The sequence below is a fragment of the Homo sapiens genome, chromosome 1 (genome assembly GCF_000001405.40).
Source record: "Homo sapiens chromosome 1, GRCh38.p14 Primary Assembly".
Classification (NCBI taxonomy): Eukaryota; Metazoa; Chordata; class Mammalia; order Primates; family Hominidae; genus Homo; species Homo sapiens.
The window spans coordinates 109,213,393-109,239,116 of record NC_000001.11 but is presented as its reverse complement, the minus strand read 5'-3'; the positions used below and the strand labels follow the sequence as shown (position 1 = coordinate 109,239,116).

The following is a 25,724-nucleotide window of genomic DNA, read 5'->3' as shown; positions in this document are numbered from 1 at the left end:
TTGGTACTATGCTCCAGCAGGCCCAAGTCGCTGCTCAGGGACTAAGGAAGCTGAGGTGAGATAAAGGCTCCTAAGTGACAGCCCAGTTCACATTCCAGCTCTCAACCTCCCAAAGAAACATAAAGCACTGCCGAGGAGTCAGGACTTCCGACCTCCATCAGGCCACGTTGTCTCATCTCCCTTACCGTCCTTGTATTTCTGTCTTCCAAAGGATGGAATAAGCATAATCATATAATCATGTCCCCACCCTACCTTCTGGGACCATCACAAAGATAAAAGAGATCATCTATAGGGAGTATTTTAACCTCCTAGGAGAGAGGCACTAAACTAACAGAAGCTGTTATTAAAGTAAAGGGTTTGTAGATTGCAGATGAAAGGCAGCAGGTAAATAAACAGCCTGAACATCAGCCTCCCCTGAGAAAGGAACTGGCTATTAGGGCAACAGTGGGAGCTCCACAAAGGGGCTACAACATTTTCTCCTCTCCTCTGCCCTGCTGGCTATCCCAATCCTTTGGAGGTGCAGCAGCAAGTTGGTATGCAGTTGGTCTCCCCATGTGGGGATGGCTGTAACGAGAGAAACTGCTGTTAATAAGTCCCCAACCCATGCTAGGCATAGAAGCTAGGGGCTCTTCTGGATTAAATACAGCCTCTCGCTTTCCACAGAGTCCTTTGTAGGGAACAGAAGTGCTAAGAGGCTTTTAAAACAGTTCTGGTCTCTAAGCTAGTCCTACCTCAATGATTTCAAGCAGGAATATATTTGTAAAGGAGGATCCTGGCCCTTGCCCTGCAAGCTTTTGTGATTCAGACTCCATCTTCCACCTTCCCCTTGAGCTTTTTCTAAGTGTACCCCTCCCTTCGCTTACCTGTTCAAAGGCTCTGTGACTTGCTAACTGGAGGGAGCAGCCTAATTTGGAAGGAAAAGCAGAAGTGTATATCAGGGAGAACCTCAGAGGCGGGGTTCAAGCCCGGGGAAGAAGACTGAGGAAGAGTCCTAAGCCCTCCCCAGAGATGCTTTATTACATGGTTTCATCAGTCATCAATGATGGGTCCCTATGCCCATGCGAGGAGACAGGAACATCTGTGTGGTACATGGCACTGTTCCCCTCTCAGCTACGCAGTCAGATGGGGGCAGGGGGATGAATGGGTGCTTGGCTTCCCTGCTGTTGGGCAGGCTCTGAGATCTCAGCAGACAGAAATGAAAGCCTGGCAAATAGGGAGGCAGGAATGTTCAAGCATCGGTGACCTCCATGTTCTGCAGCCTGTTTTCTAGGGTGACGTCTCTTGCTGCTGCTTTCTTTTTGCTGCCCTCATGTTGCTTCTTCTGCTTCTTTGATGGCTCCTGCTCAATGGGCGCAGGCTTCACAAAGGGGATCAGTTCTTGCAGTCCTGGGAGGGAAGAGCCAACCAAATGACCTGTTGTTTCTCAGTGAGTCAAAGCCCTAAGACCTCTGGGGAGAATTCAACAAGACAATGATCCCTTTGAACAGAGGGGTCCCTTTGATAGGCACTGGTTTCCTTTATTCTTTTCTTCCCTAGTCTGAATTTTAGCAGCATTTCAACATCATACCTGCACTGGCTACTTTCTCAACCAGGCCCCCTGCCCTGCCCAGCCCGAGAGGGCAGACAGAGTTTCAGGGGCTGTGTCTGAACAAAAAAACCTGGTATATCCTGAAAGGGGACTGCTATTTAGAAGAGTGTGAAGACAGAAAAGAGGAGAACGATGAGATGAGCTGGGAGTTTTACCTGGCGGCATGAACTCCTTCAATTTCTCAGGCACAGTGATGCCCTTCTCTGTCTGGTAGTTCTCCAGGATGGCGCAGATGGTACGGGTAGTGGCGCACATGGTAGCATTGAGCATATGGACAAACTCCACCTGGGAAGACAGGGTCCCAGAGGGGAAGTCGGGCTCAACTCTCATCGGGTCTTACTGACGGCCAGGAACCATCCATTCAACCAGACTTCCCCAACCACAACTGTCCAAATCAAAATGATGGGTTCTACCCCTTAGCAACTTTTTTCTAAATTTGAATTATTTGGTATTTATTGCCTATTAGATAACTGCAGAAAGATCCCTCATGTTTCGATGAGTGACAAGTGGTAGCTTCTGGTATTCTGAGAGTTGGGCCCTTTGAGGGAAGGAAGAAACTACTATTGTGGCCTTTCCTTTTCACCCCTTTCAAGCACCTGACTTGGAAAAGAGTAGGGCCTGAAAATTGGGTTTGAAGAGAGCAGCTTACAACCCAGACCTTCTTGGGTGAGAAGAGGGAAGCCTCCAACTTGTTCTGTGTAGATAAATGGAGATTATTCTTTCTCTGGAGTTAAGAAAAACAAAGCCAGAAAGAGAAAAGCTAGAATTACCTTATAGAAGAGAGCTAGATTCAGGTTTCTAGCTAAAAGAACTCAGTCCTGACTCAGTAGAAGGCATTTTCAGATTCCCTTTTTGGTCTAGATTGAGAAGCTCAGATTTTCCCATGATGCTGGGGACCAGTGCACCCCAAAGGCTGAGAAATAATTCGGACGGGCCGTGTACTGAAGACTCTGCTTCCCACCTCCCTGGGGGCCATCTACCTTGTCCATCATCTTCTTGGTTTGCCCATATCGGATTCGAAGCCGGCGAGCCTGGTAATCCGTGCAATTAGAACAGGAGACCAACTCACGGAAGGCTCCTGAGCCCGGAAACCAGGCCTCCAGGTCAAGCTTCTTACTGGCAGCATGATTCAAAGAACCTGTAAGGAAAAACCCCTAGAATTCATGAAGGAGGGATGGTATTTCAGAAGGCTAACCTTTAGCAAGCCTGAAGAATTCTTTAATTCATGTCCTGTCTCCAGAGGTGAAATCACACCCAGATATTCTTAACACCAAATACTCCCAAGTGAGAAGAGTGTAATATTTTAATTAATGTGGGCAATGAGTTGAATTGTGAGCTGTTTCTCTGTGTGGCAGCTCAGCTGGTAAGGGTGGCGTCTGGGATTACAGGAAAGGGAGGCTGAGAAGAGGCTGGGTCCCATACCTGAGACAATATTCACAATGTGGTAAGGAATCCCCAGGGACTGGTAGAACTCCTCTGCGGTGGTAATCATCTCTTCAAACATCTCCCATGACTTGTTGTCATGGGGTGATGAGTACACAAACTGTTCAATCTGCAGAGAGGGACCCAAGGAAACGGTGACAGCGGTATAGGGTGAATAAAGGACTGAAGTGGGAGACATCCTTGCCATGAAGACCTGTTTCCACACCACTGGGAGGCAGGCAAGTCTGGGCCCCCAGCAACTGGGACTGGACCACAAGAGCAAATGCTTATGGTGCGAGCTTCCCGTATGCATGCCAGCCCCTGTTCTGAGTGCTTTACATATAGTGACTGGGATAATCCTCACAATAGGCCACAATAGGCCTGGTGAGGCAGGCACTGTTACTGTTATCCTCCTCATACAAAGGCAGAAATGGAGCACTGGGGGCTTATGCATTATGCCCAATGTTACACAGCTGGTGAGTGGTAAAGCCGCAGCCTGGTTTCAGGGTCCATAATCCACGCCACTCCACCATGCACTTCCCCAGAAACACAGAGGTAAGCAATGAGAGGAAAAGCTGGAGCCAGGATGGGCCTCAGCAACACAGATCCTATCTCTCATCTAACCATTCTGGAGACAGAGAAAGTTCCACTCCTTACCCTGACCCATCTACTCACCTTCTCAAACTGATGGACTCGGAAGATGCCACGGGTGTCACGGCCATGGGAGCCCACCTCCTGACGGAAGCAGGTAGACAGGCCAGCATACTTGATGGGCAGGTCCTCCGGCCGGAGCCACTCATCCCGGTGCAGGGCAGCAATGGGCTGCTCTGAGGTGGCAATCAGGTACTTCTCATCATAGGAGTTGTCATCAGACTTTTCACTGCCTTTGCCAATCACCTGTGGAAGGAAGGAGCTATACCAGTTAAGAGGAAGTGGGGAGGACCTTGGCTAGAATAAGAAACCACAAGAAAGAGATCAATAATAGTGCAGGAAAAATTTCCTTTAATCCCTGCCTGGGAGTGGGGAGAGAATACTAAAAAGATAAAGGAATGGGTCAGTCCAAAATGGGGTCCCTGACAGAGATCAAAGAAATGTAAATTAAGAGGAAAGAATATTTTCCACTTATCTTTTTTTTGCTTTTGAGACAGAGCCTCACTCTGCTGCCCAGACTGGAGTGCAGTGGCACAATCTCGGCTCACTGCAACCTCCACCTCCCAGGTTCAAGCGACTCTCCCACCTCAGCCTCCTGAGTAGCTGGGATTACAGGCACGCGCCACCACGCTCAGCTAATTTTTGTATTGTTAGTAGAGACAAGGTTTCACCATGTTGGCCAAGCTGATCTCGAACTCCTGACCTCAGGTGATCCACCTGCCTCAGCCTCCCAAAGTGCTGGGGTTACAGGCGTGAGCCACTGTGCCCAGCTATTTTCCACTTATCTAATACAGAAAACTCATCCATGATGAATAATGGTCAATGCTGGCAGGTATGCAATAAACCTGTGCTGGTAGCCACATACATTAATCCTTGTGAGACGTTTACTAAACACCAATGTGGAGCAAAAAGGGACACCAGTCTCTGCTTTCTTGGTGCTTACAGGTTAGTGGTTATGATCCTTAAAGAATATACTTTGCTGTTCAACTGAAGAAAATAATGCAAAAAAAAAAAAGTTCAGACAGGACAAAGTTCACTGTAACATTATTTATGTAATATTATACAACCATAAAAATGAAGACCATGCAGTAACACAGAAAAATACTTTTGATATAATGATACATAAAAAGGTGGCCAGGCACGGTGGCTCATGCCTGTAATCCCAGCACTTTGGGAGGCCTAGGCAGGCAGATCACTTGAGGTCAGGAGTTCAAGACCAGCCTGGACAACTTGGTGAAACCCCGTCTCTACTAAACATACAAAAATTAGCCAGGTGTGGCCAGGCGTAATGGCTCATGCCTGTAATCCTAGCACTTTGGGAGGCCAAGGCGGGTGGTTCACCTGAGGTCAGGAGCTCGAGACCAGCCTGGCCAACATGACAAAACCCCATCTCTACTAAAAATACAAAAAAAAAAAAAATTAGTCGGGCATGGTGGTGGATGCCTGTAGTCCCAGCTACTCAACAGGCTGAGGCAGGATAATCCCTTGAACTCGGTGCGTAGAGGTTGCAATGAGCCGAGATCATGCCACTTCACTTTAGCCTGGGTGAAAGAGTGAGATACCGTCTCAAAAAAAAAAAAAAAAAAAAAAAAATTAGCCAGGTGTGGTGGCGACGCCTGTAATCCCAGCTACTCGGGAGGCTGAGGCATGAGAATCACTTGAACCCAGGAGGCAGAGGTTGCAGTGAGCCAAGATCGTGCCACTGCACTCCAGCCTGGGTAACAGAGTGAGACTCTGTCTCAAAAAATGAATAAATAAATAAAAATAAAAATTAAAAATAATGCTAAGTTAAAAGGCAATTTATGTACATGGCAATTATAAGTATGTGAAAACAACATATATATGAAAAAAATCCCAACATGAATATTTTAAGATGACAATTGTTATATTAGGTCAATGGGAAAGCAGATAATTCCCTCTGCCATTTCTAAATTTTGTTATGTAGCAGCATTTTAATTAAAAAAAAAAAAAGTAAGGAAGAAAGGTTCCCCTGGATCAGTGTTTAGAGGCCTGGAAAACTACCTTGCTACCTGGCAGTAGGAATTTAGCCACTGTGGGGCCATTCACATACAACATACGAAAGCTCTAGGGCTGTGCAGCCTAATATGGTATAGCCAGCCACACATGACTATTTAAATTAAATTGGGCTGGGCATAGTGGCTCACACCTGTAATCCCAACAGTTTGGAAGGCTGAGGCGGATGGATTGTTTGAGCCCAGGAGTTTGAAATCAGTTTGGGCAACATAGTGAGACCCTGTCTCTACATAGGAAATTAATTAAAAAAAAAAAATTAAATTAAATTAAAATTTAGTTCCTCGGTTGCATCAGCCACGTTTTCAGTGCTCAAGTCACATATGGCTGATGGTTGCCATGCTGGATCATGCAGACTTAGAACATTTCCATCAGTGCAGAAAGTTCTATTAGGCAGCGATATATTCATTCTTACAGAACTGAGGTTTTTATCAGACAAGAAGTGCCAGCCAAAATTCTTCACTATGAAACCTGTGATTCTTCCTGCCTGTGGGTCCAAGAAGCGTCTGGATAAGAGACGGAGATTGCAGGACTCAGAGAGCACCAGCTACCTAACAGTTTCCATAATACTCCACATAGGTTTCTCCCTACTGTTACCTGCAGCGGATATTTCTAATGTTCTGTTAGTGATTATCTAATCTTAGGGGTTGAAATTAGAAAAAGAAAGAAAAGGTAAAACAGGTTTTAGCGAGTAAAGGAACACATTCCTCCCTTCATTAAAAGAAAGAAGAGAGGAGGTCAAGGTTATACTGATGCTCAGGGTTTAGGGAGAGCACTTTGTTTCCCAGTGCGTCTTGAATGAAAACTTAACTTTTACCTCATCAACAGAAACAATGGAAAGATCGTTCTAATTATTGAACTATCTCCCTATATAAATTAGATGAGTCCAACAGCAGTTGTCTAACTCTACCTCCACTGTCTGGAGAGGAAATAAGCCAGTAGGAACTAAGTCCCTATTTCTGACAGAAGAGTTGAAAGGGAGGGACAAATGAATAGTAGACACTGCTGCATTGGACAGCTGTTAGCAGAGACGCTCTAGAAATCTTGAGTGCTGAACACAGAGTGGGGTGCTGTTATTGGTGTTAGAGCCAGTTGATCAGAATGACCTTCTGAACCTTGACTTGAATTGTCTGGCTCTCCCTGACATGGTCCATGGTTGAGAAGGAGCCACAAACTGGAAGCCACCTCCATCCCAAGGCAAGTATGTCTCACCCTGTGGAAGCTTCCAGTCTGGGGTTAGGAGTGGGAGGACATGGGAAGCAGGCTAGGAGATCAGTGCCACCACTGTAATTTCCTTTTGTCCAAGCACCCAAGGAATGGGCTTCTTTTCTAAGCTCATGGTGTTCAAGTATGCTTGATTTAGATACATCATACAGATTACCCAGGGAAAGGTAAAAGAGGCTCTGCAGCTGCACTGTCTAATATGGCAGTCATTAGCTACATGTTTAAGTTAAAATTAATTAAAATAAAAAATGTGCTTCCTCCATTGCACCACCCACATTTTAAGTGCTCAAGAGTCACAGAGAGAGAACGTTTCCATCATCGCAGAAAGTCCTATTGGACAGCACCACTCTGCATCACTGAAGTTAAGCTACATAACTTAAGAAGTCATTCTGTCACCTGACCCAGGCTACTCACCTTATAAAGTTCTTCATCAAACTGGCTGAGCTGTGCCACCTCCTGCATGACCTCCTTCCTCATGAAAAAGGGGGTATAAATGGGAATGTAGCCCCGACTTCCCAAGGTGCGAAGGGCATACTGGATGAGAGCCTGTTCCAGGAACACCAGGACCCCCTAGAGGAGCAGAGACACAGTACTATGTGATTGGGTCTTGTCACCATCATGTTCAGCTAGAACTGACACCTAAAGGCACCTGGGCCAAGAGAACAGGACTACCGAGGGGCAAGCAGGAGGCCAAGAAAAGACCACAGATCCCAGCAACTGACATTCTGAACCTTGAGATTCGTTCTGAACACTGAAGCCCAGCAAATCATCCAGGCACACCGTTAAGAGAATTATCCTGATGTTCTCAAAGCACTTTGGGCCTACACAAACCACAGAGCTTATGACAGTGGATTTTGATTCTTTGTTACTTGTCTGACTGTCCAATTATACTGAGCTACTTAAAGGCAGAGACTGTTCTGATTCAGTCAGCAAAACAGACATTCATTATGGAGGACCACTTAGTGGCTTTTGTTCTACGGAATCCTGATAAGCCCTCTCTTGCTTTAGAAAGAGAATTGCATCTAATTGCCAATACATTTGCAGAAAGGCAAGTACAACTGGTAGATCTGTGGGCCTCTTTAAACAGATTATGTTTCTCTACAAAAAAAAAAAAAAATATATATATATATATTTTGTTTCTTTTTCATAATCCTATCCTCACTGGTTCCCAGCTCTTACCTTCAAGAAGTACCCTCGACTCCCAGCCACCACGGCCCCCTTTTCGCCTTCAAAGCCATCTACCATCACCACCAGGTCCACATGAGAGTACTTCTTCCTGACTGTACAATCACCCCAAATCCTCTCTACTTTGTTGTCCACATCCTAAGGAAACAGAGCAAGAAAGAGACATACAAGACATATGATTTTATTATTTTTAAATTATTTTTTTTTTTTGGAGACAGGGTCTTACGCCGTCATCCAGGCTGGAGTGCAATGGCACAATCTTGGCTCACTGCAGCCTCAACCTTCCAGGCTCCAGTGATCCTCCCACCTCAGCCTCAGCTGGGACTACAGACAGGTGTGCAACACTATGCTCGGCTAATTTTTGTATTTTTTGTAGAGACAGGGTTTTGCCATTTTACCTAGGCTGGTCTCGAACTCCTGGGCTCGAGTGATCCGCCTGCCTAGGCTTCCCAAAGTGCTGGGATTATAGACGTGAGCCACCGCGCCAAGCTTGATATATGATTTCTTAATTCTACAACCTCCATCTTTCCAAACTTTATTCCACGAACAACTTAACTTTGTGAAGTCATCGCTTAACTCAAACACTACTGTGTCTCATAACTAGAGAAGGCAACTTGCTACTCAATGGAGAAGTAGTAACTTACAAAGTTTGAGAAGTAATTCTAGCCATGAAACTGGGAATGATGATTTTCCAAGAGGTCTATAGCATTCTCTCGGGGGTTTTTTTTGTTTATTTCTTTTTTTTACCCTTTTAAATTACCCCTCAAATCCTGCACAAGGACAACCCTTCCCAGACAATCGACATTGCCTGGGGTGCAGAGGAGAATGTAGATTTTTTTTTTCCAGGCTCTCATTGGTCCCAGGGCCACATGAGGGCGGACTCAGGGCCCTGACCTCCAGAGTCGTCTCGTGGTCTGTGCTCTGCAGCCTCCTGCACACCCCAGCCTGCAGTGAGTTTAATGTTCACCAGGGAATGAATGAAAGAGGCACAGATGGGCCCTGCTACGGCTGGGGTGTCGGGGAACAAAGGCTGGGCTCAGAGCAGCTTTGTGCAGGGGAAGCTCCCGCTCAGCAGGAAACTTTTATCATGCAGATTTCCCTTCAACCTGCAGCTTCTCAGCAGGGTGTGGGTGAAGGGGTTAGGTTGATTTAGCAGATCCCTCCCACGAGATGCCTGCTACCACGGGCAACATGCAGCGGAGGACAGCAGCCCTATTTAGAAGAGATTTCTGTGCCAGGAGTCTCCTCCTACCTGCTGTCTCTGCTACTTCCCAATCAGACAAGGATCTGACTCCTGCAATTCTCAATTGGTGGGCAGAGGGAATATACAAAGAACCTGCTTCTGACAGACAATGCCAGTGTTCCACAGATCTCCTCCCGTCCCCGCCCCTGCAGAGACAGCAGCGACCTAAGGCAGCCTCCTGCTGCGGCACAGCCACCTACCTCATCGTTACTGATGGGTACAGAAGGGTGCAGAAGGTTCCCAATCTCTCGGAGGTTCTCAAACCGCTCTGCTTCCAACTTTATCCGCTCCGCGTCACACTTCAGGATGGCTTCATCAATGAGGAGTCGGACTTTTTTGATTTGTGAGACTTTCAGGTTCTGCAGATGAACAGGCCAGGCCCATAAGCAGGACAGTGAGGCAAGGACAGCACAGGAATATGATTCGGTTGCCCTAACCCTGTTGTGCTCTAAAGATAGCCCTTGTGGTAGCATTTTAAAAACTGGAAACGAAGACTTTTAAGAACTGAGATTTCCTTCACACACAGATATACACAGTCTTGCCCTACAAATCCATCGGCATTTTTCTTTGGGGGTGCTTGAGGCAGAGATAGATAGTTCTGGCCACTATCTATTGTTCCCATACATTGCAGAAATTTAAGTACTGCCGCTCTCTTATGAGAACTTTCCCTTAATTTGCACTTTCTGATTTTCTTGACTGAACCAATTTAGCACTCCATTGATGTGCTGCATTCAACTGTTCTCTAGGAAGATTATAAATTTATTAGGAGTAAGAGATTTGTCTGAAGCATATTTTGTATTCTGTATTGCAGGTGTTTCAAACTGTGCTCTTATTTCTTTGAGGCAAGCGCTTTAGCAGTAGGGCCAGGCAGGTTCAGGCCCCCAATCCGAGACCTTCAAGCACAGCAACTTTGCTTTTTTGGTTTATGTTCTTGCTATATGTTAAGGGTTTCAAGAAAGGGTTCAGTGACTAAAAAACTCAAAAATTACTGCTCTTGCCAGCGTACTGAATATTTACTGTGTTACAGTAAACTGAAGTTTCTTGCCTTTGTGTAACAAACGGTAGAATATGGAGTTATATAAACCAAACACAATTCCTTTCCTTTTTCTATTCTTCCTGTCCTTGACTCTCCGACTCTCCCACTCCATCTGTCTCCATCTCTGCTGTCTAATAAATACTCAAATATAGAATATAACAAGAATGGGTGGGGACATTTCCCAGCAGCAGAAATGAAAGGATGTCACAATGCTGTGTGGAGCAGAGTGAGAGCACTTGCTGTCTAGGAATAAAATTAAGACAAAATAGCAGAGATCCTAACTTAGAAAAGAACTATAACTTACAGCTAAAGCGTCTGCAGTAAGGTCATCGAAACTCAGCACATTCTCTGGGACAGACTCATCATCTCCCACTGGCTCTTTTTTCTGCAGGAAGGAAAAAAACCCAACACAAATAAATAAAAGAAAATCTCTGGCATTGTTTTATAAAGTGTACACCAAATTAACGTATTATATAAATGAATCACAGAACTTCTTACATAAATTTTTCTAAAAGATACAACATGTAGGAAAAAAATTAGTACACTGGAAGCCAGAAGTCAAAGTGTCAAGCCCCTCCCTATGCTGCCACTTAATAGCTTTTTGATCCTAAAATCAATTAATCTGTCTGGGTCAGAGAATTAACATCCTGAAGAATATGAGAAGAATGTCATTCCCTGTACATAGATCATCATAGGAATCAGAAGAGAATTTATTCGAAATGCTCATGAGCTATAAGCGCTGGAGAGGTAGTGCAGTGCTCAGGAGCAAGCCCTGGAGCAGACACACCTGAGTGTGGATTCTTTTTTTTTTTTTTTTTTGACGGAGTCTCACTCTGTCGCCCAGGCTAGAGTACAGTTTGCGTGATCTGGGCTCACTGCAAGCTCCGCCTTCCGGTTTCAAGTGATTCTCCTGCCTCAGCCTCCCAAGCAGCTGGGATTACAGGAGTGCACCACCACGTCTGGCTAATTTTTTTTTCCTTTTTTTTTTTTGTATTTTTAATAGAGATAGGGTTTCACTCTGTTGGATAGGGTGATCTCAAACTCCTGGCCTTAAGTGATCCCCCACCTTGGCCTCCCAAAGTGCTGGGATTATAGGCGTGAGCCACTGCACCCGGCCCCGAGTGTAGATTCTTATCTACCTGCTAACAACAATCCCAGCATTGAGGCTAAGGGTGAAAGATGGATGGAATGATGAAATATCAGACAGCCAAGGAAAACAAACAAACAAAAAGTCACAGGATCTGGAACTCAGTTTAGAACAATCAATGTAATTTGACAAAATGGCAGGGGTGTAACCAGGGTTGGATTTCGTTCTCTCTAGTTTCTCTTCTCATCCTTCCGTATGATAATTCTGCTAAATCATCATTTGTAATCCTTGCACAAAACCAGGTGAATTTAAAAAGATCACTTAAAGAGTTAAATTCTTCTTAAATTAAAAAGAGTTGGCAGGGCACGGTGGCTCATGCCTGTAATCCCAGCACTTTGGGAGGCTGAGGTGGGTGGATCACGAGGTCAGGAGTTCAAGATCAGCCTGACCAAGATGGTGAAACCCCGTCTCTACTAAAAATACAAAAATTAGGCAGGCGCGGTAGCAGACACCTGTAATCCCAACTACTCGGGAGGCTGAAGCAGGAGACTTGCTTGAACTTGGGGGCAGAGGTTGCAGTGAGCTGAGATCACACCACTGCACTCCAGCCTGGGTGACAGAGTAAGACTCTGTCTCAAAAAAAAAAAAAAAAAAGAGTTAAAGAAAGTTAGTCAAAGGTCATTATAATAAGATACATGAGACTTCAACAAAACTTGCATAAGAATATTTAGCATCCGCTTTGTGAGTATAAATAAAACAAAGTATAGCCAGGTACAGTGGCTTGCAACTGTAATCCCAGCTACATGGTAGGCTGAGGTGGGCAGATCACTTTAGCCCAGGAGTTCAAGACCAGCCTGGGCAGCAGAGTGAGACCCCATATCTAAATATAAATAAATAAATAAATAAATAAATATATATATATGTGTGTGTGTGTGTGTGTGTGTGTGTGTGTATATATATATATATATATATTTTTTTTTTTTTTTAAATTAGCCAGGCATAGTGGAGTACACCTGTAGTCTCAGCTACTTGGGAGGCTGAGGCGGGGGGACTGCTTGAGCCCAGGTATTAGAGGCTGTGGTGAGCTATGCTTGTGCCACTGCACTCCAGCCTGGGTGACTTTTTAAAAAATTAGCCAGGCACAGTGACATGTGTCTATAGTCCTAGTTACTTGAGAGGCTGAGGTGGGAGGACTGCTTGAGCCAAGGAGTTGGAGGCTGCAGTGAGCTATGATCACGCCACTGCGCTCTAGCCTGGGCAACAAAGCAAGACACTGTGTCAAAAAAAAAAAAAGAAAGAACAAAAGGACTAAATCTCCTAAATGTAAAGCATGGAAATCCTTTAGGTTCATTACACATTCTCATACAATCAAAATTCTAACCATAACTCCACTCACACCCTTCAGTGACTCAGAGCAAAATCATCTTAAAAAGTTGGAAAAATCTGGCCAGGTGCAGTAGCAACACAGGGAGACTCCATCTCAACAAAAAAAAAAAAAAAAAAAATTAGCCGAGTGTGGTGGCATGCTACTAGGGAGGCTGAGGCAGGAGGGCTGCTTGAGCCCAGGAGGTTGAGGCTGCAGTGAGCCATGATTGTGCCACTGCGCTCCAGCCTGGGCAATAAAATGAGGCTTTGTCTCAGAAAAAAAGAAAAAAAGTTGGAAAAATCTGAAACTATCAGAATGAGTCTTGATAAGAACAGACTACAGAGGTAGGGAAAAAATGGACTAAATCTCAAGATTTTTGCAATGGCATCATAGGCAGGGTGATATGTTTGCAAGATAGTTACCAGGCTCCCTTGCTATTTGATAATCCCTCAGGGCAGCAAATTCAAGTTCTGAGCTCAAGGTTTGACTCTGCAACTAAGTTAGAATATGATTTTAAGCAAGCTCTTTAATTTCCTAAGCCGATTCCCTTACCCATTAAATAGGGCTGACAAATGTACTATCTGCACTCCAGCTCTGCAGTAAGGATCAAAACCAAAATAAGATGTCTGTGAAAGTATCTGAATGCTTTCGAGTGCTCTACAAATTAAAGCACTATCATTACCATTTCAATGGCAGTGGGAGTGAACACTCCCTGCATGGCTAGCAACAAAATCAGATCTAAGAATGTTATTGTGAATGACAACACTCACAATCCCATCTTCTTGCTTCAAAAAATACCCAGCTGGCACTGACTGTACATAGGTCCCAAAGAACACCCAGGGAGGAGTATGCATGGGAATTAACATAATTATGGGGCCTCTAGTATGCGAATGACTAAGTCCCACAGAAAGAAACTGGATGATTATCAATATCACTTTCCACAGCTAAAAGTGTTACACGCTGAAAGTGTAACAAAATATTGTCAAAGAGAAAGATGCCGACTGCCATGAAGTTAAGTGTAAGGTGCTAGAATCCCGAGGTCATCTTTTTATGCTCTTTACTGGTGCAGTTCCAAAGTTCTATAATTTTTTGTTGTTGTTGTTTAGTTTTGAGGTTTACAATGTAAAAGTTATCTAGATTGTAAAGTGCATTTAATTAATTAATTTATTTATTTTGGAGACAGGGTTTCACTGGAAACCCAGGCTGGATGGAGCTCAGTAGCGCAATCTTGGCTCACTGCAACTTTTGACTCCTGGCCTCAAGTGATCCTCCCACCTCAGCCTCCTGAGTAGCTGGAACTACAGGCACAGGCCGCCACGTCTGGCTAATTTTTTTGTTTCATTTTATTTTTGTAGAGATGGGGTTTCACCATGTTGTGCAGACTAGTCTTGAACTCCTGAGCTCAAGCAATTTGCCCACTTTGGCTCCCAAAGTGCTGGGATTATAGGCGTGAGCTACTGTACCCAGCTATAATATGTAATGTAATATGATTAAGGGGCTAAACAGGTATTTTTGAAGGAAGGTTAAAAACATGAACTATTCTGGATACCAAAGCAAAAGCTGAGCTGAAACATAGTATTTTTCAGGCATAGGAAGGATTTTTTTTTTGGATGAAGGCCAGTAACATTACTTGCCATTCATTATAACTCACAATTGCTGAACAACTACATGTTCTAGACACTGTGCCAAATTTTCTACATTTAAAAGAAATTTAGTTCTATCCATAACCATTGCTTGGCGTTTAAATTAAAAAAAAAAAGTTCTAACAATTCCATTCTGTAGGTGAGTGTTAGTATTGTCATTTTATAAATGAGAAAACTGAGGCTGAGGCATTAACTTGCCTAAAAGACACATAACGTAGCAAGATTTGAACTCTGAATCTGTAGTTTTCATTATGGAGCATAACTACGCTGAGACGACAAATCTGAAATCTGCCATAAAAAAGATGACTGGTGGAATTTATATTTCTAATATAAGAACAGAATAGACAACAAACAGCTAGACAACAAAGAATCTTACCTGAACACAGAAGATGGACTTGTGGTAAAGTATATGAAAATGCCTCCAAGTTCCCTGCCTCCCTATCTTTTTAAAATAATATTTTCCCCTTTGGTAAGAAATTGAACATCTTGTAGACTTAAACACTGAGTTAGAACTTCTGTGAACATTAGCTAAGAGCAAGATCAAATATCTCCGCTCAAGTTCTCATGGCTGTTTGTTATTCAGTTCTCTTACCTTCATTTTCTCTCCGATTGTCTTGCTGCATAGGTTCTTCAGCTTGTTCAAGTTGTCTGCCCGAAATCTACCTAGGAATAAAGAATCCAAGACTATACCAAAGAAATGCCCATAATTAAGATACTCCTTTCTCCTGATCTTGACTTCTTAGTACTGATTTCAGGTTAAGGCCCAAATGCCGGCAGAGCTGAAGGATCTGCCTCATGAAGTTATAAAATCTTACAGCTTTTTATTTTTATTTTTTGAGACAGCATCTTGCTCTTGTTGCCTAGGCTGGAGTGTAATGGTGCAATCTCGGCTCACTGCAACTTCTGCCTCCCAGGTTCAAGCGGTTCTCCTGCCACAACCTCCCGAGTAGCTGGGATTATAGGTGCCCGCCACCACACTCGGCTAATTTTTGTGTTTTTGGAAGAGACGGGGTTTCACCATGTTGGCCAGGCTGGTCTTGAACTCCTGACCTCGCCCTCCCAAAGTGCTGGGATTACAGGCGTGAGCCACTGTGCCCGGCCTAATCTTAGAGCTTTAGAGCCCCAAATGTAGTTGGCATACAATGGTGACTACAATAGGGTGTCCCCAGCATTTGGTGACAAGGAAAAGACCAATCTGAGGTTAAAATTAAAAAGTATCATAACCTGTATGAAGCCATTATAGAGTAACACATCTGAAAAACTTGGAAGACACTCAAGTAACTAACCTGCCCAATTATCTTAAAACTCATTTAAGGAAACTAGGTGCTATGCACAGGAATCTATAGAGAGTGCAGTCATGATTGCTACCTCTCCATGCTAGAAATGGCTAATGATACCCTTTTACTTTGATATAATGCTCATCTAGCAGCCTTGAGAATAATTTAGTCTCTTATAATTTGGTTTCCTTTGGGGGAAGACAGGCACTAACTGGTCAACATATTGGCCCAAATTAATATATTGGTATCATGGATCATCAGTCTAACTCTGATTAGCAAAATTTGGACCTCTTGAATCTAAACGTCAGGGGCAATATGATAAAAATTAAGCACAAGGTTTTTTGTTGTTGAGACAGGGTCTCACTCTGTCACCTAGGCTGGAGTGCAGTGGCACGACCTCAGCTTACTGCAACCTCTGCCTTCTGGACTCAAGTGATCCTCCCACCTCAGCCTCCCAGGCAGCTAGGACTACAGGTGTGCGCCACCACACCCAGCTAATTTTTTTATTTTTATTTTTGTAGAGATGGAGTTTTGCTGTGTTGCCCAGGCTGGTCTCAAATTCTTGGGCTCAAGCGATCCACCCATCTTGGCCTCCCAAAGTGCTAGAATTACAGGTGTGAGCCATGGCATCCAGCCAAACTCAAGCTTTTAAGAGGCAAAATTGATGACTAGAAATAAGATAGCACCTAGAGAGCCATTCTTTAAGGCTTTACCAAGAAGCTTTCCTCTTTGATACCTCTTTAACAAAACTTCAATGCAAAATGATATCACTATTTTCTCATTCACTTATTCACATTGATAAAACTATAGAGATGGATAATAGATTAGTGGTTGCTAGGGGTGAGATGGAGGGCAAAGGGAGTAGACTACAAAGAGATAGCAAGAAGGATCTTTGTGGTGATGAAACAGTTCTGTATCTTGAGCATGGCAGTGGTTATACAAATTTACACATGGTAAGATTGCACAGAACTACACACACACATGTGTGCAAAACTGGCAAAATCTGAATAAGGTTTGTGGATTGTAGCAATGTCAATTTCTTGGTTTTAATATTGTACTAGAGTTATATAAGATGTTATCATTGGGGAAAACGGGACCTTTCTACTATTTTTCCAACTTCCTGTAAATCTATAATCGTTTTGAGATTCCCTCCTATTTGCAAGGCACCAAGGTAGGTATTGGGAGTATAAAAGAAAATAAGGCCAGGTGTGGTGGCTCATGCCTGTAATTCCAGCACTTTGGGAGGCTGAAGTGGGTGGGTCGCTTGAGCCCAGGAATTCGAGACCAGCCTGGGCAACGTGGCAAAACCCTGTCTCTACAAAAAAAAAAAAAAAAAAAAAAAAAAAAAAAAAATATATATATATATATATATATATATATATATATATATATACACACACACAAAAAAATTAGCTGAGCATGGTGGTGTGTGCCTGTACTCCCAGCTACTTGGGAGGCAGAGACTGCAGTGAGCCAAGATCATTCCACTGCACTCCAGGCTAGGTGACAGAACAAGACTCTATCTCAAAAGAGAAAAAGAAAAGAAACAAAAAGAAAATAAAACAAAACCAAATATTGTAACAATGCTGAATGTTTCAATCAATGAATATAGTATATCCCTTCATTGTTTTTAATTTCTCTCAGCAATGTTTTGTAGTTTTCAGTATATGAGTCTTAAATGTTATTTATTAGGTATATCTCTATGCACCTGGTGCTTCTAAACTGTTACTTGTATATAGAAGTACCTTTGATTCTGTGTATTGTATCCAGTTATTTTGTTAAAGTTATTTAATTGTAATAGTTCAGATTCTGCATACACAATCAAGTGATCTGCAAATAATGACAGTTTCTTCCATTCCAATCTTTTATTTTTGTTTCTTGCCTTCTTCATACTGCCTGGAACCTTTGGCATGATGTTGATTAGAAGAGGTGATAAGAGACATACTTGTCTTGTTCCTAACCTCAAGGGGGAAAGCATTCGATATTTCATCATTAAGAAAAATGTGGCCGGACGCAGTGGCTCACACCTGTAATACCAGCACTTTGGGAGGCCGAGGCGGGCGGATCATGAGATCAAGAGATCGAGACCATCCTGGCCAACATGGTGAAATCCTGTTTCTACTAAAAATACAAAAATTAGCTGGGCGTGGTGGCACGCACCTGTAGTCCCAGCTACTCAGGAGGCTGAGGCAGGAGAATCGCTTGAACCTGGGAGGTGGAGGTTGCAGTGAGCTGAGGTCACGCCACTGCATTCCAGCCTGGTAACAGAATGAGACTCTGTCTCAAGAAAAAAAAAAAAAAAGAGAAGAAAAGAAAAATTAGCTATGGGTTTTTCTGTAAGTATCTACTATCAGATTAAGGAAGCTCCCTTCTATTCTCAGTTTATTGCATTTTTACCATGAGCAATTGACTCTCCACATTAAAAAAAATTTTGATCTATCTCACATAATACACCAAAATTAATATTAAATATATCTTATACCTAAATGTAAAAGGTAAAGAAATAAAATGTCTACAAAAAAACTGGAGAATCTCTTCTGAAGGTTAAGACATAACATGATTTTCAAAACAGAATACAAATTCTGTGATTTATCTATTGTGTTTTGGAAACACAATAGACAAATCACAGAAGAAAAGTCAATAAATTAGACTTCATTAAAATTAGGAACTTCTATTCATCACAAGACTGAAAGAATGAAAAGGCAAGCCACAGAATGGGAGAGGAGATCTGTGGTATCTGTATCTCACAGGTATTCTTCTATCCACACGATATAAATAATTCCTACAAACCACTAAGAAAAGGACAAATAAAAATTGGTCAAAAGGCTTGAACAGATACTTCTCAAAATAGGCTATCCAAATGCCATCAACTTATGAAAAAGCGCTCAGTATCTTTAGTCACCAAAAAAATGCAAATTAAAATAACAATGAGACACCACTATATATCTACCAGAATGGCTAAATTAAAAGGACTGCCAATGTCAAGTACTGGCAAGAATGCCAAGCAACTGGAACTCTTAGATATTGCTGGTGGGAATATCAATCATTACAACCACTTTGGAAAACTACTTGGTATTATCTACTAAATCTAAACATGTGCCCACCCTATGATCCAGCAATTCTACTCCTTGGTACATACCCAACAGAAATGAGTGTTAATGTCTACCAAAAGACACACATAAGAATGTACATATGTTCTTATCACAAAATATAAGTATTTGAGGTGATGGATATGTTAATTAGCTGCTTTTATTATTCCACATTGTATTCATAAATCATAACATTACATTGTACCCTATAAATATATACAACTATAATCTGTTAATTGCCAATCAAACATTTTTTAAAAAAGAGTCTCTAGAAGCTTATTCATAATGCCCTCAACCGGTAACAACCCAGTTTATCCAAATGTCATGCAGTAAATATGCTAGTAGAATTGATTGGCATATTTACATAATGGAGTATTATATAGCAATGAAAAGAACCAACTACTGCTACATGTTAATAACATGGATGAATCTTACAGACATAATCTTGAAAGAAAGAAGCCATGCCGGGCGCGGTGGCTCATGCCTGTAATCCCAGCATTTTGGGAGGCCAAGGCGGGTGGATCACAAGGTCAGGAGATCAAGACCATCCTGGCTAACATGGTGAAACCCCAGCTCTAATAAAATACAAAAAAAATTAGCCAGGCATGGTGGTGGGTGCCTGTCATCCCAGCTACTCGGGAGGCTGAGGCAGGAGAATGGTGTGAGCCCGGGAGGCGGAGGTTGCAGTGAGCTGAGATCACGCCACTGCACACCAGCCTGGGTGACTGAGCAAGAATCTGTCTCAAAAAAAAAAAAGAAAGAAGCCATATGCAAAAGTATATACTACATAAGTCCATTTATATGTAGTTCAAAATCAGGCAAAGGAATTTATGGTGATGGAGGTAAGAATACTATTATTTTTGGAGGAGGGGCTGACTGGGAGGTGGCATAAGGCAATCTGCTGGTGTGCTGTAAATGTCATATATATATATATATATAGTGTGTATATAAATATATAGTGTATATATATACTGTATATGTACACTATATATATATATATATATATATATATGGAGAGTCTTGCTCTATCGCCCAGGCTGGACTGCAGTGGTGTGATCTCGGCTCACTGCAAGCTCCGCCTCCTGGGTTCATGCCATTCTCCTGCCTCAGCCTCCCAAGTAGCTGGGACTACAGGCGCCCGCCACCACACCCGGCTAATTTTTTGAATTTTTAGTGGAGATGGGGTTTCACCGTGTTAGCCAGGATGGTCTCGATCTCCTGACCTCATGATCCGCCCGCCTCGGCCTCCCAAAGTGCTGGGATTACAGGTGTGAGCCACCACGCCCGGCCTAAATGTCTTATATTTTGATCTAAGTGTTACATTGGTGTATATATTTAGAAAACTCATCAACCTGTACACTAAGATTTGTGTACTTTACTGTATCTATGTCAATAAAAATAAGTTTTTGAAGGGTATATACAGGAATAGTATAAATGCTGTAAGAGATTTGTAAGATAATATAAGGAGAGCACTCAATAAATGAGGTGGCACTACAACAGTAGTTGAGTGCCAAAGAGGGCCGTTGGAAGTGGGAGTGGCACACCCTGATAAGGAGCATTCCAGGAAGAGGCAACAGTCACAGAAGTGTGAAAGAGTCTAGGAGTAGCAATAAGCTAGAGCAAAGAGCGGGAGGCCCTATGTGGGAAGTGGTAGACAGCGAGGCCAGGAAGGCATGGGGGACTTTGTAAATTGTGTTCAGGAATTTGGATTTTTATGCTTTAAGGCTGTACTGTCCAATATAGTAGCTTTTAATACCATGTGACTATGAGCATTTGAAATTTGAAATGAGCACCTGAACAGAGTGGTGCTTTAAGTGTAAAACATACTTTGGAGTTTGAGGACTTGTACCAAAAAAAAAAAAAAAAAAGTAAAATATCTCAGTAGTTTCAGTAATTTTTTTTTTTTTTCAGATGAAGTCTCACCTTGTCCCCCAGGCTGGAGTGCAATGGCACGATCTCAGCTCACTGCAACCTCCGCTTCCCGGGTTCAAGCAATTCTCCTGCCTCGGCCTCCCAAGTAGCTGGGATTACAGGCGCCCGCCACCACGCCTGGCTAATTTTTTTTTTTTTTTTTTTTTTTTGGAGACAGAGTCTCTCTGTGTCACCCAGGCTGGAGTGCAGTGGCATGATCTCAGCTCACTGCAAGCTCTGCCTCCCGGGTTCACGCCATTCTCCTGCCTCAGCCACCCGAGTAGCTGGGACTACAGGCGCCCCCCACCATGCCCGGCTAATTATTTTTGTATTTTTAGTAGAGATGGGGTTTCACCGTGTTAGCCAGGATGGTCTCGATCTCCTGACCTTGTGATCTGCCTGCCTCGGCCTCCCAAAGTGCTGGGATTACAGGAGTGAGTCACCGCACCGGGCTAGTTTCAGTAATTTAAAAATACTGATTATGTGTTGAAAATATAATTTCGGGGCTGGGCGTGGTGGTTCACACCTGTAATCCCAGCAGTGTGGGAGGTCGAAGTGGGAGGATCACTTGAGTCCAGGAATTCGAGACCAGCCTGGGCAACAAAGTGAGACTCTGTCTCTACAAAAAATTAAAAATTAGCTGGGCATGGTGGTGCACACCTGTGGTCCCAGCTACTTAGAAGGTTGAGGTGGGAGGACCAGTTGAGCCCAGGAGGTCCAGGCTGCAGTGAGCTGTGATCATGCCACTGCATTCCAGCCTAGGCAACAGAACAAGACGCTGTCTAAAAATAATAATAATAATTATATATATATTTATATATATATAACTTTTGGGTATACAAGACTAGGTTAAATAAAATGTATTACTAAAATTAATTTCATCTGTTTCTCTTTATATTTTTTATATTGGATACAAACAAATTAACAATTACAGACTATCGCCAACTTATAATGCTTAAACTTTATGATCAATAGTAATAAATTACATGAGATATTCACACTTTATTATAAAATAGGGTTTGTGTAAGATGATTTTTCCCAACTGTAGGTTAACATCAGTGTTCTGAGCACATTTAAGGTAGGCTTGGCTAAGCTATGATATTCAGTAGGGTATGTGTATTTCATGCATTTTTTACTTACAATATTTTCAACTTATGGTGGATTTATTGGGACATAAACCCATCCTAAGTCAAGGAGCATCTGTATACATGAAGCTAACATTCTATTCCTATCAGACAGTGCTGCTCTAAAGTATGTCACTGCAAAACTTAAGCCTTCAAGTAAAATGATCAGATTTGCATTCTAGAAAGATTATATGCCCTGGTGAGACTGGGTTAAGATTGAAAGCAGATAGAAAGCTATTCCAGTTGCTGGGGCAAACAATGATAAGGACCTGTTTTAAAACATGTGCAGTAAAGGTTATGAGGAAATAACAGCTTTAGCCTGGGCATGGTGACTCATGCCTGTAATCCCAACACTTTGGGAGGCCGAGGTGGGAGGATCGCTTGAGGCCAGGAGTTTGAGGCCAGCCTAGGCAACATGACGAAACTCCATCTCTACAAAAAATACACACATTAGCCAGGCATGGTGGCATTGCGCCTGTAGTCTCAGCTAGTCAGAAGTCTAAGGCAGGAGGATCATCTGAGCCTGGGGAGATTGAGGCTGCAGTGAGCTGTGATCATGCCTGGGTGACACAGTGAGACCTTGTCTCAAATTAAAAAAAAAGGAAACAACAACTTCAATTTTCAATGTACAGTAAAAAGAAAAAAAAAACCACTCAGGATAGCACTTTTTGAGGGAGGATAAAATTCTTGGGGTTTGCAGCAGATTTCCAGTTACATGGAAATCTATTTGCTTTGGGAGTGGGGCCAAGACAAATATGCCCAAGTGTAGGATCATTACGCTACTCTGAATTAAAAAGAAGAAATCACATTCAAATCCCTGGAGTTAGAAGAGTTGTGAGTTCCAATGTGGTATTATCACTCCAAGTTATACTGGACTCCTGAGTTCTCCAAAGGAACCCTAGTGGTACCTTGTAAGTCTACAGGAAGACAAATTGGTATAGTTGTAGTGGAGGGCTTGGTGAAGCTTGCTATGTGTCCTCAATTAGGGAGCATGATCTGAGTTCTTAATGTGGCTCTGGTTATAAGCCCTTGCTCAAGGCAATGAGAGAAGAACTCCATCCTCTGATCTGAAGTTCAAGATGTCAAAGAACCTTGATATAAATCTGCCAGTGTCTACCTTGGGCAGTTGGGAACTTGGGAAAAAACATAAATTCCATTTGGATGCAAAGAGAATATTGGAAAGGGTTGTCAAATAGAAAAGAATCAAATTAATAGATGCATTGGAAATAAACTATTGGCCAGGCATGGTGGCTCACACCTGTAATCCCAGCACTTTGGGAGGCTGAGGCAGGCGGATCACTTGAGGTCAGGAGTTAGAGACCAGCCTGGCCAACATGGTGAAACTCCCATCTCAACTAAAAAAAAAAATTAGCTGGGTGTGGTGGTGCACACCTGTAGTCCCAGCTACTTGGAGGCTGAGGCATGATAATCTCTTGAAACCGGGAGATGGAGGTTGCAGTGAGCCGAGATGGTGCCACTGCACTCCAATCTGGGTGATAATGAGAGACTCCGTCTCAAAAACAAAACAAAACAAAACAAAGAAAAGAAATGACTTCACATTTAGGATTAAGTTTTTTAAAACAATAACATAAACTACATAAACTGCTTTTCATAAAGAATATAAAGTGCCCTGAAGACAGAAAATATTCACGCCTCTAACAAACCTTTATCAAGGCCTTACCAAGGACCAGGTACAGTGCTAGGTACTGGGATTTTATGTATAAATGTGTATATGTATATCCACATATATACTGTATGAATAAAATTGAATCCTTGTCCCTGAAGAACTCACCACCTATCTACTTTTCAGATAAGGGACAAATCCCTCAGATGTGGACATTATACCCAAAAGACTAGCTAACACATTCAAAGTCATTTAGCACTGGCTAAGGGCTGGACTGACACAAAAATCTGATACTCCTGACTTCAGATTCAGTAGAACAGTGCTCAGGCTAGTTTTATCCTAAACAAAAAATGTGGCAAAATTAAATTCCATTGCAACTCGAAACTTCAGGTCAAGTGTGGAATCTCACAATCAAACAAACTACTACAATAGAGGGCCTAAGACATAGAATCAGCACAAAACTCAAGTTAAACAAATATTCTTTTGACATCCAAGATCCTTATAAACAGGAGAAAATCAATTTTCCTAATAGAAATCCATCACACTCTTGGATAGTGGCTGCCTTTGCAGTGTACTGTCATCGACCTAGCTCCCAGATGGTTGCAGACCTATTGCATCAGACAAATCAAATCACAAGTACTTGACAGCATCCGCCCAACCAGCGACCACTCCAGTTAATACAGGCAGAGATTTATGGGCAGATGGTTCTATGGTTTTATTCGGCTTCATGATAGATGCCCGATATGACTCCAAGATCCGGCAGTTCCAGGTTCTAGCCCAACTCTGCCAATGTCTTTAAAGGAAAACGTCCACAAATCACAATTAAACAGCTTCAGTCATTACAATCTTTTGCTCGCCTCCTCACTCCCCTCGCGTTTGATCTACCACGGAAAAGACTTTTCTAATTCTTAAAGGTATGCCCATAGGTCGGGGGATGGCCTTCCGAAAAGCTTCAGGGTCATTTATTTTGGCCAAGAGCGGCCTCCAACGCCCCGAAATGCTTCCGATACCGAAGGAATGAATCTACTGTGTTGCAGAAGTGACGCAGTCTCAGGAGAAGCCTTTGATCCTATCAAAACAAAGGAAAACCACTCTGGCCTTGCTGAAGATGAGAAAAAGACTGGGGGGGACCAAAGATTCGTGTTAGGAAAGCCGCGTAGACCCCACAACCTCCCGCCCCGGCATGTTCTGGCAACCCCTGGGGCAGGAAGGCTTGACAGCTCCCGATGCGCGTGCGTACGCACACTGGCAGCGAACGGCACTGAGCACGCGTGGAAGGGACCTCGCTCCGCCCGGGTGGAGGAGAAAGTGGGATGACCCCGGCGACCAGGCTGTGTTTTCGGGGATGGGGAGAACCTCGGAGCCACCGCACCCTGGGAGGGGGTCTGACGAAGGGTGGAAGCTGTGGCCTCAGGAGCGGTGGCTGGATTTGAGAGAGAAAATTGGGTTTAGCATCAAGGAGGTAACCCGCCCGTCCCGGTACTTACATCGTCGCCACTCGCTGTCTGCCTTCACCAGCTGGTCCACTAGTCCCGGGTCCTTGAAGCGCTTCTCCTGCGTCTCTCGGATGAGGGCTGGGTCCCCTCCTTTATCCACCCGAAACAAATCCAGATCCAGCACCATCTTCTTTCCTCCCGGGCCAACGCTCAGGGAAGCAAGGATCGCGCCGCAGCACTCAGCCTGTGACCGCCGCACTGCGCCGGCGCGCTGACCCGCCCTTCCTGCGCAGGCGCAGCTGGAGCCCGCAGGCGACCCTCCCCGCGACCGGAAGCGGCTGGTTGGAGGCGGGGCCGCGGAGGGAGGGGAGGGGAGAGTGGGTGGGCGTGGGACTATACCTCTGGTTCCTGCTCCCCAGCTCTGCTACAGTCTGCAGGAACTGTGATCGCCACATAAAAGTGTGAATGCCTCAGTTTCCTACTCCTGTCTCAGGCTAGGCAGAGGCCTGTCCCCTCATCCCTAGCTTAGAGGCCGGGGCCTTCACCAGGTGCCCGTTTTCCTCTCACTAGGTTGGGTTCTTCCACTGGGCTCTTTCCCTGAACCTCGGCCGTCTTCTCCATCTTGATACAAGAGGATGGCATATTTAGTCCCAGGGCTACCTCAGCTTAAGATTCCTGCTCTCGTGCCTTAGAAATGGTATACCTTTATTAATCTGATTATTGGATAAACCAAATTGTCACTTTACCAACTCTTAAGAGCACAGCTTTGGGAAAGTGCGGTTGTCTT

The 25,724-nt window shown here is 43.6% G+C and overlaps 1 protein-coding gene across 3 annotated transcripts, besides 7 other annotated features; it reads right to left on the bottom strand.

Moving 5' to 3' along the window:
- Window positions 917–2,116: an enhancer, noted in NCBI's record as "CDK7 strongly-dependent group 2 enhancer chr1:109779623-109780822 (GRCh37/hg19 assembly coordinates)". NCBI's record gives its function as "activates an origin of replication core promoter dependent on BRD2, BRD4, P300/CBP, MED14 and CDK7 cofactors, with strong dependence on CDK7, by STARR-seq in HCT116 cells {active_cell/tissue: HCT116}" and the evidence as "EXISTENCE:reporter gene assay evidence [ECO:0000049][PMID:35650434]".
- Window positions 935–25,224, bottom strand: SARS1 (seryl-tRNA synthetase 1). 3 transcript variants are annotated; one of them, NM_001330669.1, is made up of 12 exons: window positions 24,989–25,224; window positions 15,069–15,139; window positions 10,685–10,765; window positions 9,545–9,703; window positions 8,096–8,239; window positions 7,331–7,486; window positions 3,686–3,907; window positions 3,011–3,140; window positions 2,569–2,726; window positions 2,247–2,312; window positions 1,744–1,873; window positions 935–1,386 (listed from the first exon to the last, which is right to left on the bottom strand). In NM_001330669.1, the coding sequence occupies exons 1-12, from the start codon at window positions 25,122–25,124 to the stop codon at window positions 1,229–1,231; spliced, it is 1,611 nt and encodes a 536-aa protein (NP_001317598.1). In that variant the 5' UTR covers window positions 25,125–25,224; the 3' UTR covers window positions 935–1,228. The 3 variants fall into 3 exon arrangements, 2 of the variants coding, with proteins under 2 accessions (NP_001317598.1, NP_006504.2); NM_006513.4 differs by lacking the exon at window positions 2,247–2,312 and having other exon boundaries at window positions 24,989–25,199; NR_034072.1 differs by lacking the exons at window positions 935–1,386; window positions 1,744–1,873; window positions 2,247–2,312; ... (6 more) ...; window positions 10,685–10,765; window positions 15,069–15,139 and adding an exon at window positions 21,626–24,570.
- Window positions 7,809–8,606: an enhancer, noted in NCBI's record as "H3K27ac-H3K4me1 hESC enhancer chr1:109773133-109773930 (GRCh37/hg19 assembly coordinates)". NCBI's record gives its function as "activates a minimal SCP1, AML or CMV promoter by ChIP-STARR-seq in primed H9 embryonic stem cells {active_cell/tissue: H9 hESC(primed)}" and the evidence as "EXISTENCE:reporter gene assay evidence [ECO:0000049][PMID:30033119]".
- Window positions 8,607–9,403: an enhancer, noted in NCBI's record as "OCT4-NANOG-H3K27ac-H3K4me1 hESC enhancer chr1:109772336-109773132 (GRCh37/hg19 assembly coordinates)". NCBI's record gives its function as "activates a minimal SCP1, AML or CMV promoter by ChIP-STARR-seq in naive and primed H9 embryonic stem cells {active_cell/tissue: H9 hESC(naive and primed)}" and the evidence as "EXISTENCE:reporter gene assay evidence [ECO:0000049][PMID:30033119]".
- Window positions 12,374–13,058: an enhancer, noted in NCBI's record as "H3K4me1 hESC enhancer chr1:109768681-109769365 (GRCh37/hg19 assembly coordinates)". NCBI's record gives its function as "activates a minimal SCP1, AML or CMV promoter by ChIP-STARR-seq in primed H9 embryonic stem cells {active_cell/tissue: H9 hESC(primed)}" and the evidence as "EXISTENCE:reporter gene assay evidence [ECO:0000049][PMID:30033119]".
- Window positions 13,059–13,743: an enhancer, noted in NCBI's record as "NANOG-H3K4me1 hESC enhancer chr1:109767996-109768680 (GRCh37/hg19 assembly coordinates)". NCBI's record gives its function as "activates a minimal SCP1, AML or CMV promoter by ChIP-STARR-seq in primed H9 embryonic stem cells {active_cell/tissue: H9 hESC(primed)}" and the evidence as "EXISTENCE:reporter gene assay evidence [ECO:0000049][PMID:30033119]".
- Window positions 24,776–25,135: an enhancer, noted in NCBI's record as "active region_1437". NCBI's record gives its function as "activates an Ori minimal core promoter by ATAC-STARR-seq in GM12878 lymphoblastoid cells {active_cell/tissue: GM12878}" and the evidence as "EXISTENCE:reporter gene assay evidence [ECO:0000049][PMID:35858748]".
- Window positions 25,186–25,405: a silencer, noted in NCBI's record as "silent region_1143". NCBI's record gives its function as "represses an Ori minimal core promoter by ATAC-STARR-seq in GM12878 lymphoblastoid cells {active_cell/tissue: GM12878}" and the evidence as "EXISTENCE:reporter gene assay evidence [ECO:0000049][PMID:35858748]".

Bases quoted from the DNA above. Each gene is read 5' to 3' on its own strand.
- SARS1 (NM_001330669.1), bottom strand. From the start codon at position 25,124: ATGGTGCTGGATCTGGATTTGTTTCGGGTGGATAAAGGAGGGGACCCA. The intron at 9,704-10,684 runs GTAAGTTATAGT...GTTCATCTGCAG, and splicing joins TTACTGCAGACGCTTTAGCT to AACCTGAAAGTCTCACAAAT. The intron at 1,387-1,743 runs GTAAAACTCCCA...CTTCCCTCCCAG, and splicing joins GAAGGAGTTCATGCCGCCAG to GACTGCAAGAACTGATCCCC.